This window comes from Homo sapiens, chromosome 5, assembly GCF_000001405.40.
Source record: "Homo sapiens chromosome 5, GRCh38.p14 Primary Assembly".
Taxonomy (NCBI): Eukaryota; Metazoa; Chordata; class Mammalia; order Primates; family Hominidae; genus Homo; species Homo sapiens.
Window position 1 is genome coordinate 2,055,338 of NC_000005.10, and position 13,545 is coordinate 2,068,882.

Genomic DNA, 13,545 nt, shown 5'->3' on the forward strand with positions numbered 1-13,545 from the left:
AAAATCAACAGGCAGGCAGGAGACTGAGAGAAAATATTCACGTAACACATATCTGACCATAGACTAGTATCTGTCCACACTACATAAAGAATGCATACAACATTACAATAATAGACAAACAACACAATAAAAAGAGCTATCCACTTGAAATGATACTTTACAACAATCACCTGCAAATAGTTGCATGGAAAAATGCTCAACATCACAATTTATCAGGGATATACATATCGGAAAATAAGAAAACAACACAGAGACATTAGAATAGCTCAAATTAAAAGATTTAAAAAGATAACAACAAATAAAGGAAAAGATCTGTAGCAATGAGGATTCTCACACAACAGCCCAGGAGGGTTGAAGTGCACAAGTCTTTGGGAAAAGCTTGGCAGTTCCTTATAAAACTAACCACACAGTTACCTATGATGCAGCAATTATTCTGCTAGATGTTTACCCACAAGAAATAAAAGTTTATTTTGAAAAAAGAACTTGTACAAAATGTTCACTGTGTGAAGGAACATTTCAAATATTCAACATGTGTTTCACAGCAGCTTTTGGCAGAAGTACTCCAAATGCTCATAAAGACAATAGTGAATTAGGCCGGGTGAGGTGGCTCACGCCTGTAATCCCAGCACTTTGGGAGGCCGAGGCGGGTGGATCAACAGAGGCTGGGAGTTCAAGACCAGCCTGACCAACATGGAGAAACCCAGTCTCTACTAAAAATACAAAAATTAGCCAGGCGTGGTGGCTCATGCCTATAATCCCAGCTACTCGGGAGGCTGAGACAGGAGAATTGCTTGAACCTGGGAGGCAGAGGTTGTGGTGAGCCGAGATCATGCCACTGCACTCCAGCCTGGGCAACAAGAGCAAAACTCCATCTCAAAAAAAAAAAAAAAAAAGAAAAGAAAATAGTGGATTAAACGAATTGTGTGTATTCAGATAATGGCATAACAGTAAAAATGTGACAAATGGTGGGTGCAAGTGATGACCTGGATGAAACGGACAGGCATCATGCTGAGCAAAGGAAGTCAGAGATAGAGGGGGCAGACTTCATGAATCCATTACTCCAAGTTCTAGAACAGGTAAAATTAATCTGTGGTGACAAAGAGGGCTTGCTTTGTGGTGGTGGGGGCTGCCTCCAAAGGCAGACAAGGGAATTTTTGGAGGTTACGTGAAGGTTCAATATTTTTATGGGTTACACGGATGCATGCATCTGTCAAACCTCATCAAATTGTACACTTAAGGTTTGTACATTTTACTGTATGTAAATTGTAACTAAAAAGTCCCCTGCAAATATTGAAATCAAGTTGCAGGCTTGCTGTTAACACTTTCATGGGTAGCATATCTGAAACTATTCTTTGCATATTCTGGGCCTCAGCAAATGCGTGCCAGTGTTTCTCAGGGTTGCATAAGGGAGTTTCATATATGGAAACAAAGACTGAACTATTCCCTGTGTTTTTGCATAGGAATTAGAGATAGCAGTAAATTCATGATTTTATTTTCACAATGTGGACATTTAGACATATATTTGTACCCATCTATGTCATGTCCATATCTACCTTTCTCCCAATTCTGTCTGCTGAGAGAGCATAAAAGCTGAGTCACATCAGCAGCAGTGAACACACCTGGTGCCCAGATCTTGGTTTCTAATTACCTTCTTCCACTGAAAGGAAACAGAGCTCCCAAAGAATAGGCTGATTCCAGACTGAGGCAGAGAAAGCCCAGGGCATCCTGTTTTGCCAGAAAGCAAAGAATTGCCCCAGGACTTAGGAGAACTGTTCCAATCACGTATTACTTTGTAACAAATCATCTCAAAACTTAGTTACCTGAAGCAACAAGTTATTATTATTGCTTACAATTCTGTGGGCTGCCTGCTAGGTTAGTAGGTTCTCATTTGAGGTCTTTGTTAAGACTGTAATTAGTTACCAGCTGGAAGGTGATTTGGCAGTGTTTTATTGCAAAGTAATACTTGCATTGCCTTATAATCTTACTTTTTGAAAACCAGGAAATGGATTTACAGCGGCTGAAAACACAGGGCTTTCTCTTACTCACATAAGGATGGACAGGAGTGAGCAGTGGCCACTGGTGTAGGCTGAGCCACCCACCAACGACCCCAGTGGGTTTTGTGCTCATGCTGGCTGACCCATGCTCACTAGACAGGAGCCAGGTTTGCAGACTGCACATTGGAGCTCAAGGAATAGGGAGGGGTAGAGATGTGCCGGCAAGTGTGTGCCCATCTCTTGTCTAGAAAATAATGGGGTTCCTATTAGGTATGGGGTTCCTGGAAAGCCCCAACAGATTTCCTCTTCCATAATTTGGCTAGAACTTGTTTCATGGAAAATCGTAGCTACAAGAGATCCTGGAAAATAGATTACTGGTCTTTAAGAATTTCTCTTTAATTTGAGGCATGGAAGAGAGAAGGGAGAATTGGGAATGGCGGTGAGGTAAACAAACCAAGGGTGCATACTGCAACTGATGATAGGAAAATAATCAATCACCAAATGCAGTGTGCATTTGGGAACAGGTGCAAAGGGTGCATATGTTAAGGGGGCCTTCTCTCCAGTCGCTGGCTTCTTCAACTGGGGCTTCATCACCCTCAGCCCTGTCTCCAGCTCTTGCTAAACTGGCTCATGCTGAAGCTCTCCAGACAGGCTAAGAGGGTCCCAAGGCCCACGCATGCGACTGGGAAACTTTAGCAAATGTTGCCACCCAAAGTCTAACAGCTAGAATCTAACTGCGCGATTGCAAGATAGTCTCATAGCTAGACTCTGAGATTCCAAGGTAGTCTAATACCTAGAGTGTGACTGCGAGATTTCAAGGTAGCCTCATAGCTAGAATCGAACTATTAGGCTTCTTGCTAATTATGGAAATTTCTGCAGCCATCTTGAATTTCTCCCCAGAAAATGGGTTTTTTCTATCTCATAGTCAGGCTGCAAATTTTCCAAACTTTGATGCTCTGCTTCCCTTATAAAACTGAATGCCTTTAATAGTACCCTAGTCACCTCTTGAATGCTTTGCTACTTAGAAATTTCTTCCACCAGATACCCTAAATCACCTTTCTCAAGTTCGAAGTTCCACAAATCTCTAGGGCAGTCTCTTTGGTAAAACAAGAGTCATGCTTGCTTCAGTTCCCAACAAGTTCCTCATCTCCATCTGAGACCACCTCAGCCTGGACCTTCTTGTCCATATCGCTATCAGCATTTGGGGGAAAGCCATGCAACAAGTCTCTAGGAAGTTTCAAACTTCCCCACATTTTCCTGTCTTCTCCTGAGCCCTCCAAACTGTTCCAACCTCTGCCTGTTACCCCGTTCCAAAGTTGCTTCCACATTTTCCAGTATCTTTTCAGCAGCGCCCTATTCTACTGGCACCAATTTACTGTATTCGTCTGTTTTCATGCTGCTGATAAAGACATACCTGAGACTGGGAAGGAAAAGAGGTTTAATTGGACTTACAGTTCCACATGGCTGGGGAGGCCTCAGAATCATGGCGAGAGGTGAAAGGCACTTCTTACGTGGTGGCAGCAAGAGAAAATGAGGAAGAATCAAAAGTGGAAACCCCTAATAAACCCATGAGAGCTGGTGAGACTTATTCACTATCACGAGAATAGCATGGGAAAGACCCACCCCATGATTCAATTACCTCCACCTGGATCCCTCCCACAACATGTGGGAATTCTGAGAGATACAATTCAAGTTGAGATTTGGGTGGGAACACAGCCAAACCATACCAGAGTGGGTTTCAGCCGGAGGGCCTGGACCCAGAGTCTCTGCTTTTGACCAGGATCTTTTCACTGCCTTTGCTGAGATTGGGAAGCAGCATCCCTCTGTCTATTTCTGGAGGAAAGTTTATACCTGGAGTGCAATAGGACATGCTCAGAGAGTCCATGAAATAGTCCAGCCGGCTGTCCCTTCAGCATCCTCTGGTGTCTGGTGATGGCCAAGCTTATTTTCCTCAGAACAGTAGGAGCGACCCAAGCCAGAGAAAATCAACCAACTGAGCCCACAGCTCCCTCCTAGGCCCCTCTGGACATGGGTCTCATGGCCTCTGTGATCTGGAAAGCCCAGGGAAAAGCAGTATTATCTTAGACAGGGAACTGTTATGAGAGCTAGGAGGGGGCCCTGCACCCCTGCAGCAGAGGACAAGCCCGAAGCAGGGGATGGGTATGAGAATGAGGAGGGGCTTGTACCCTTGCAGAGGAGAACAAGCTGGAAGCAGGGGACTGGTTTAAGAACGAGGAGGGGGCCCTGCACCCCTGCAGCAGAGGACAAGCTGGAAGCAGGGGACAAGCCAGAAGCAGGTCCTGTTGCCCGCAGAGCAGAGCCAGGAGTTACAGGCTCACAAAGCCACGGTAAGAACAGCCTATGCGAGGCTTTCAGTGACATGAGGTTGTGCAGCAGGAGATGGGGGGATATACCACTCTATCTGAAGAAGTCAGGACATTCAGTCACCATAAAATACTAGTCCAAGCATTATTCCAAATACAAATATCCAATTCTAAGCAATAAATGCTTATTCAGAAGATACTGTGACCAAAGTGGCAGGTTAAATATGTTAAGACCTAAGAGACGGCAAGGGGCTGACTGGGAGGAGCCCAGGCAGATGGGGCGAGGGGCTCAGTGCAGCAGGGACACGCAAGTAACTCTCCCACCACAGAGAAGACGTGAAGGACGCTCACTTTCAACCTTCCTTACACACAACACACAAGGGGCTACACAGATATTGCTGATGACACAGCAAGTAGATGACAGGTCCAGGTCTTGAGAGATAAATTGGGGGCAGTTGTCTCTGGTGACCCCCGCGACAGCTCCCATCTGGCAATAAATGCTCTCTGCAAGGCACAGCAACTCAGAAGGTGATCGTCCTAACAAGAATGACCTCAGGGCATCCAGACTGGAGGCCATAAATCACAGGAAGGTAACAGCACCCAGAAGGAGCTGGCTGGGCTCCCCAAGGTCTGATCTGGAGGTGGAGTCAGAGCAGCTCCCACCAATGCTGAGTGGAGCGGTCACTCTGGCCTGTGAATGCGAGCTTCCTACTTGGGAGCTGATGTTCCTGAACACCAGACAGCGGCGTGGACACCTTGACTGAGGGGCCTGGTTGTTTTGCCATCACGCTGCTGATCTGAGAAGGTAACTGTCGCCCCTCTCCAAGCGTCCTCACGGGGCCATCCACTGTTTCTCACGCAAGGCCAGAGCCAGCAGAGCCTGCAAGGAATGGAGGGGTCCCTTGACTGTTTTCTGAGGGTCTCTCACAGTTTCTGCTTGGATGCCTTTCAGGAAAATAGCACGAGCAGGAGCAGCTGGTGAGCTTACACCTCAGGGGGAGTGATAAGAACATCTGAGAAGAACTTCTGTAAAATAAAGATGGTCATTGATTGAAACAGAGAGTCGTGGGACCCCTTTTCTGAGAAAGTTTCTTAATGGAAATAGTTAAAACACAGAACATTTGATAAGATCTTGAGGGAGTTTTATCAAAAGCCTTTTCTACATCTATTGAGATAATCATGTGGTTTTTGTCATTGGTTCTGTTTATGTGATTGATTACATTTACTGATTTGCATATGTTGAGCCAGCCTTGCATCCCAGGGATGAAGCTGACTTGATTGTGGTGGATAAGCTTTTTAATGTGCTGCTGGATTTGGTTTGCCAGTATTTTATTGAGGATTTTTGCTTCGATGTTCATCAGGGATATTGGCATGAAATTTTCTTTTTTTGTTGTGTCTCTGCCAGGTTTTGGTATCAGGATGATGCTGGCCTCATAAAATGAGTTAGGGAGGAGTCCCTCTTTTTCTATTGTTTGGAATAGTTTCAGAAGGAATGGTACCAGCCCCTCTTTGTACCTCCGGTAGAATTCAGCTGTGAATTCGTCTGGACCTGGGCTATTTTTGGTTGGTAGGCTATTAATTACTGCCTGAATTTCAGAACTTGTTATTGGTCTATTCAGGGATTCGACTTCTTCCTGGTTTAGTCTTGGGAGGGTATAAGTGCTAAGAAATTTATCCATTTCTTCTAGATTTTCTAGTTTATTTGCGTAGAGGTGTTTATAGTATTCTCTAATGGTAGTTTGTATTTTTGTGGGATCAGTGGTGATATCCCCTTTATCATTTTTTATTGTGTCTATTTGATTCTTCTCTTTTTTCTTCTTTATTAGTCTGGCTGGCAGTCTATCTATTTTGTTGATCTTTTCAAAAAACCAGCTCCTGGATTCATTGATTTTTTGAAGGGGTTTTTGTGTCTCTTTCTTCTTCAGTTCTGCTCTGATCTTAGTTATTTCTTGTCTTCTGTCAGCTTTTAAATTTGTTTGCTCTTACTTCTCTAGTTCTTTTAATTATGATGTTAGGGTGTTGATTTTAGATCTTTCCTGCTTTCTCCTGTGGGCATTTAGTGCTATAAATTTCCCTCTAAACACTACTTTAGCTCTGTTCCAGATATTCTGGTACCTTGTGTCTTTGTTCCCATTGGTTTCAAACAACTTATTTATTTCTGCCTTCATTTTGTTATATACCCAGTAGTCATTCAGGAGCATGTTGTTCAGTTTCCACGTAGTTGTGTGGTTTTGAGTGAGTTTCTTAATCCTGAGTTCTAATTTGATTGCACTGTGGTCTGAGAGAATGTTTGTTACGATTTCCATTCTTTTGCATTTGCTGAGGAGTGTTTTACTTCCAATTATGTGGTCAATTTTAGAATAAATGTGATGTGGTGCTGAGAAGAATGTATATTCTCTTGATTTGGGGTGGAGAGTTCTGTAGATGTCTATTAGGTCCACTTGGTCCAGAGCTGAGTTCAAGTCCTGAATATCCTTGTTAATTTTCTGTCTCGTTGACATGTCTAATATTGACAATGGGGTGTTAAGTCCCCCACTATTATTTGTGGGAGTCTAAGTCTCTTTGTAGGTCTCTAAAAACTTGCTTTATGAATTTGGTGCTCCTGTATTGGGTGCATATATATTTAGTATAGTTAGCTCTTCTTGTTGCATTGATCCCTTTGCCATTATGTAATGCCCTTCTTTGTCTCTTTTGATCTTCGTTGGTTTAAAGTCTGCTTTATCGGAGGCTAGGATTGCAACCCTGCTTTTTTTTTTCTTTGTATTTGCTTGGTAAATCTTCCTCCATCCCTTTATTTTGAGCCTATGTGTGTCTTTGCCCGTGAGATGGGTCTCCTGAATACAGCACACCAATGGGTCTTGACCCTTTATCCAATATGCCAGTCTGTGTCTTTCAACTGGGGTACCAAAACAGAAATATAGACCAATGGGACAGAACACAGGCCTCAGAAATAACACCACACATCTACAACTGTCTGATCTTTGACAAGCCTGCCAAAAACAAGCAATGGGGAAAGGATTCCCTATTTAATAAATGGTGTTGGGAAAACTAGCTAGCCATAGGCAGAAAACTGAAACTGGACCCCTTCCTTACACCTTATATAAAAATTAACTCAAGATGGATTACAGATTTAAATGTAAGACCTAAAACCATAAAAACTCTAGAAGAAAACCTAGGTAATGCCATTCAGGACATAGCCATGGGCAAAGACTTCATGACTGAAACACCAAAAGCAATGGCAACAAAAGACAAAATTGACAAATGGGATCTAATTAAACTAAAGAGCTTCTGCACAGCAAAATAAACTATCATCAGAGTGAACAGGCAACCTACAGAATGGGAGAAAATTTTTGCAATCTATCCATCTGACAAAGGGCTAATATCCAGAATCTACAAGGAACTTAAACAAATTCACAAGAAAAAAAAAACAACCCCATCAAAAAGTGGGCAAAGGATATGAATAGACACTTTTTAAAAGAAGACATTTATGCAGCCAACAAGCATATAAAAAATGCTTATCATCACTGGTCATTTGAGAAATGCAAATCAAAACCACAATGAGATACCATCTCACGCCAGTTAGAATGGTGACCCTTAAAAAGTCAGGAAACAACAGATGCTAGAGAGGATGTGGAGAAACAGGAACACTTTTACACTGGTGGTGGGAGTGTAAACTAGTTCAACCATTGTAGAAGACAGTGTGGCAATTCCTCAAGGATCTAGAACTAGAAATACCATTTGACCCAGCAATCCCATTACTGGGTATATACCCAAAGGATTATAAATCATTCTATTGCAAAGAAACATGCACACGTATGTTTATTGCAGCACTATTCACAATAGCAAAGACTTGGAACCAACCCAAATGCCCATCAATGACAGACTGGATAAAGAAAATCTGTCATATATACACCGTGGAATACTATGCAGCCATAAAAAAGGGTGAGTTCATGTCCTTTGCTGGGACATGGATGAAGCTGGAAAACATCACTCTGAGCAAACTAACACAGGAACAGAAAACCAAACACCACATGTTCTCACTCATAAGTGGGAGCTGAACATTGAGAACACATGGACACAGGGAGGGAAACATCACACACTGGGGCATGTCACAGGGTGTGGGGGAAGGGGAGGGATAGCATTAGGAGAAATACCTAATGTAGATGACGGGTCGATGGGTGCAGAAACCACCATGGCGTAGGTATACCTATGTAACAAACCTGCACATTCTGCACATGTATCCCAGAACTTAATTATAATAAAAAAGAAAATAAACAAATAAAAAATAAAATAAAGATCTTGAGGGAGAATGAAATAAATAAATAAAACCCTTGTCTGAAGTAAATGTTCCTGGTGACCTCCTCCAATCCTGTCATAAACGCCCTTCCCCTGTAGTTAATGTTCCCGTTTCTCCTCTGGGACTGGGAAGAGAGAAGCCCGGAACCTCTCCGGAGGTGCTAAGAGCCTCTGGGAGGTGCAGCAGGGCAGGAAATGGGATTGTGTTTGCCTGTCAGGTTGGCTTAGGGGATGGAAGTTGCAAGAAAGGGAAGAAGTAAGAGTTCAAAACGACATTCCCAACTGAATGAGGTCAGTATCCACCTGGCATAACCGTGAATCCACCTGGGCTTGTGAGAAGTCATCAGAGCCCATGGACACTCACCCCCTACTTCCGGTTTCCCCAATGGTACCATCTCGTATAGCTGTGCTGTACACCGTTTCTGAAGCAGTTGAACCATTTTATATGCTAACCAGCAACGGATGGGAGTTGCCATTGCTCTGTCTTGCCTGCACATGACTCTCTCAGTCACCTTCATGTTTGCTTTTTGATCAGACCTGTGATCCTTGTATGTGTGTCTGCTGGCCATTCATGTGTGTTCTTTCACAAAACACTTTCGGAAATATTTTGCTCACTTTAGAGTTTTGTTCTGTTTCGTTTTTCGTCATCTCATTGAGTGGTATGAATTTCTAATGGACGTTCATTGTGGTCAGGGAACGTGCGTATTCTGCATGATTTAATCCTTCCACATTTGCTGAGACTTGTGTGTGGTTCACCATACGGTCCCTCTTGGTGAATATTCTGTAGGCACTTAACAAGAGCATGGATTCTTCTGCTGTCAGGAAAAGCAGTCTAGGCTGCTAATTAGATCAAGCTGGGTAATAGCGTTGTTCAAGTATTCTATATTCTCATTGATTCCCTGTCTATTTGTTCTACCAATGACTGAGAGAGAAATGTTAAAGTATCCAAATATAACTGTGGACTTGCCTGTCTTGCCTTTAACTCAGTGAGTTTTGGGCCTGTGCGTTTATAGCTTTGTTGTTAGGTGTGCATTTAGGATTTGCTATGGTTTGGCTGTGTCCCCACCCAAATCTCATCTTCCATTGAAGCTCCCATAATTCCTTCATCTTGTGGGAGGGACCCAGTGGGAGATAATGGAATCATGGGGAAGGTTTCCCCCATACTGCTCTCATGGTAGTGAATAAGTCTCACAAGATCTGATGGTTTTATCAGGGGAAACCCGTTTCGCATGGCTCTTATTCTCTTCTCTTGTCTGCTGCCATGTGAGACACGCCTTTTGCCTTCCGCCATAATTGTGAGGCCTCCCCAGGCACCTGGAACAGTGAGGCCATTAAGTTCTTTCTTTTATAAATTGCCCCGTCTCAGGTACGTCTTTATCAGCAACATGAAAACGGACTAATATGGATTGCTTCATGCATGAACCATGGCGGGACTTTGCTTATCTTCCCAAAGGGGTGGGAAGGTCCCTGAGGGGAGTGGCTGTGGCTTTTTGGTCTGAGGACTCTGCTGAGGGGAACACACACTCTGGAGGCTCAGCAAGCACTCAGGAGGGACTTGATCCATGTTAGAAATGCATCACTAGCTTCTCATTTATTTCACACTAAAATATTTGAATGTTTCTGATTAAAATCCCTGACAGGGACTCCCCATCCCAATAATTGATTGGGAAAATTGACTTTGTCTTTCATTAAATTAATAAAACAATCAGTAATACAATGTTACAAGGTAGATATTTAATAACAAAAGGACTCACTTTAATGCAGACTCTAGAAAACTGGAGAATTGCAAGTCAAGAGACAAGAGAATCACGCAAAGCAAATGGGATGTAGACACTCCCTCCCTCCCACCCACACCCAGGCTCAGTTCCAGGCAGTGTTTCCAACCCTGGCGGAACTGGCCTGTGCCAGGCGATAGGACTGTAACTCCCACCCAGAGCACCCTCCCTCCTGGGGACAGACAGGTGACAGCGGGAAGGACAGGGTCCGTCTCTGCTCCTGTACTGTGTACTGCAGGGCTGTGCAATGGCCAGCAGGGAAACAGAGGCGGAGCAGTGGTGGGGGTGTTAGCCTTGGAATCTACATTTTAAACAAACAAATTAGGTGCTCTGACACTCCAGGGTCTGAGGAAGGTGGTCAACAGCCTCATTCTAAGAAACCTTGGTCCAGGCACTGAGTTTGCCTAGTGTGGGATTTTAAACAAAAATTATTTCCAAAAGAAAGAATGCAGAGGTAAGGAAAAGATGCTATATTTAATTGAGTGGGTGTATCTGCATACTTTTTAGAAATAATAAGGGTGGAGGGAGTGAGGGGTGGTGTGTCTCCTGCAAGCTACTTGACCCAGAATAAAAACATATTAAACTAAAAATTTCACATAACAGATTTTTCTTTTTTAAAAAAGAAAAAAATGATAATAAAGAATAAAACATTCAGAAGAGAAAGATTTTCACTTGGAGGAAACATATACAAAATTAATCCTTCTTAAATCACTGTTACCTCTAAGTCTGGAACCGCTGCCTTCACACATTGTCTGCTGCCGATCTTGTCAATGACCCTTGTTAACGCCTCTCCCGACAGGTGGACGGCATCCAGACGCGGAGGGAAGTTTCCTCCTGGGGAGCAGCGCACGTGCTGCCTGGAGACAGAAGCGAAGATCAGATTGCACGTGCGTGGAATGTGGCCGCAGCACCAGTTCTGAGCTCCACGATTTGCCGGAGCATGACTCTGTTCTTCATGAAAATTATTATAAAGAGTGCTTCCAGGAGGCTGAGGCAGGAGAATCGTTTGAACCCGGGAGGCAGAGGTTGCAGTGAGTGGAGATTGCGCCACTGCACTCCCAGCCTGGGCAACAGAGAGAGACTCCGTCTAAAAAAAAAAAAAAAAAAAAAAAAAAAAAAGAGTGCTTCCACATTAAATCAAGAAAGACACACACACAAGTGAACTGGAAGAGTATCACACCCTCTTAGGCCTCAATGTCCACAACATCACTGGCCACAGCTTTTAGTTTCAGGAGGTGAGATATGAAAACAAACCTAATGGGCAAAGCAGATCTAAACAGGGTAAGACCTGGAGCCCCGGCCCCATGCAGCCTGCAGAAGGTGAGTGAGGTCGGCCTCCCCTCATTCCACAGTTGCCTCTTTCCAGAGACCCTGGGTGTCTGGAGGGATATAGAGTGATGTGGCCAGGCGCTGTGCCCGGGGAAATGACATTAAAATTAGTAATAGTAGGGGAAAAAAAAGAAATACTTTCCTTTACAGACAACAGAATGCAACTTGAGGCAAACCATTCTATACATACAGTCTCAGAAACGATTCCAGATTTCCGACCTGCGTGTTTTGTTTCTTTGTTTGTTTATGTCAAGACTTTACAATTTGCCATGAATCAAAAACACACATGAGCTCAGGGGATAGAAAGAAATATTCAGAAAGAGTCTGAGTGGAATTTGGATTAGGATGGGTGTTTTTTGGCTCCGAGTCCTGTGTCCAAGTGACAGCTGCTGTGCCATAATAATAGATCAGCTTACAATACGTAGATATAGACAGGCAGACAATAGACAATCTGTGTATGAAACAGGCTGCCTAAAAATGCTGATTATCTAAAAGCTTGTGAGCCTAGGTCATCAAAGCCATCTCACCAGGTGAGTGTTCACTCTTCCCTCAGCGGGCCCTCCCAGAAGTCATGTTAAGCAGTTTCTGACGGTATTCATATTTTAATCCTCAGAAGCCCTGGAGGCTCTCACCTCCCACTTCAGGCTGCCCAAAGTCACAGAGCCTGTGACTCCAGGACTCATCTTTCTACAAACGCTTTGGTTGGCCAGCGCTTCCTTTTACCGTCAGCCGCCCCTGCCCGGGACACTTGCAGATCAGGGGACTTTGTGGGTCTCATTGAGGCTGTATTTGCGGATTCAATTACGCATTTTTAATTCCGCAAATATTTGCCACTGCTGCCTGACCTGGAGCCTGTGTGGCCAGATCCTTTGATCGAAAGCCGTCTGCCTGTGGATCAGACCCTGTGGTGAGTGGTGACAGCCCAGGGGTGGGGAGGCAGATCACCCTGCTGGGTTGCTGGGGAAGGCTGTGTGGAGGCCATAGGGTCTGAGCAATATACTAAGACCTAGTTAAAGATTTGCAGCGAGAGAATCCATGAAACATGAAACACGGAGGCTGTGGGGGGTCGAGTTAGGACTCTGGATGGCCACATCCTGACCCCCAGAACATGCAACCACCGCCTTGTATGGAAAGGGGGCTTTGCGGATGTGATAGGGCTGAGGCTCCTGAGATGGGTGATTTTCTTGGATGATCCTGGCGGGCCAATGAAATCACAGGGTCCTTCTGAGAGGGAGGGAGGACAGCAGAGAGGGGAAGGTGATGTGGCCACAGAGCCAGAGATGACGGAAGGGGCTGCCAGCCCAGGGGTCCAGGTACCACCGGAAGAAGGAAAGACAGAGACATGGGGTCTCCCCATGCCCAGCCCTGCAGAGACCCTGAATTCAGCGCAGGGGTACTGATTTGGGGGTTATGGCCTCCAGAACTGTGAGAGAATAAGTCTCCGTTGTCTTATGCCACCGAGTGTGCGGTACGTGTTATGGCAGCCACATAGCAGGTGTGAGGAAGCTGGAGAAGGGACTGAAGATGGGGTGCAGCTGGGACCACCCTGCTGGGCTAAGGCCAGTTCTGGAAAGAGACTGAACAGCTCTCCCTCAGGAGCAGTGAGGGAGGAACCCGTGAGTCAGTGGAGGGTGGGAGGAAACGTGGGAGGAGCCTCCGACATCCTAGAAACGCGGGGGTACCAAAGCCAGCACCGGCCTGCGGGGGGAAAGCCGGCCTCTTACGCCCTGGAAGAGGAAACTCACAGAGATCCCCACAACGACACCCAGCTGTGCAGGAGGCCCACGTCCTGTCTCATTTCATTTTCTCCTCTCGGTGAACAAAAAG

At 44.7% G+C, this 13,545-nt stretch overlaps 1 long non-coding RNA gene across 1 annotated transcript in view, besides 2 other annotated features; it reads left to right on the forward strand.

Moving 5' to 3' along the window:
* Positions 1-13,545, forward strand: part of LOC105374618 (uncharacterized) — a 188,354-nt gene that overhangs the window by 124,305 nt on the left and 50,504 nt on the right. Inside the window, exons 3-4 of the long non-coding RNA NR_171679.1 lie at positions 11,189-11,709; positions 12,332-12,625. This is a non-coding gene — a long non-coding RNA (uncharacterized LOC105374618). The remainder of the gene's footprint in view (positions 1-11,188; positions 11,710-12,331; positions 12,626-13,545) is intronic.
* Positions 12,368-12,951: an enhancer, noted in NCBI's record as "H3K4me1 hESC enhancer chr5:2067819-2068402 (GRCh37/hg19 assembly coordinates)". NCBI's record gives its function as "activates a minimal SCP1, AML or CMV promoter by ChIP-STARR-seq in naive H9 embryonic stem cells {active_cell/tissue: H9 hESC(naive)}" and the evidence as "EXISTENCE:reporter gene assay evidence [ECO:0000049][PMID:30033119]".
* Positions 12,952-13,533: an enhancer, noted in NCBI's record as "H3K4me1 hESC enhancer chr5:2068403-2068984 (GRCh37/hg19 assembly coordinates)". NCBI's record gives its function as "activates a minimal SCP1, AML or CMV promoter by ChIP-STARR-seq in naive H9 embryonic stem cells {active_cell/tissue: H9 hESC(naive)}" and the evidence as "EXISTENCE:reporter gene assay evidence [ECO:0000049][PMID:30033119]".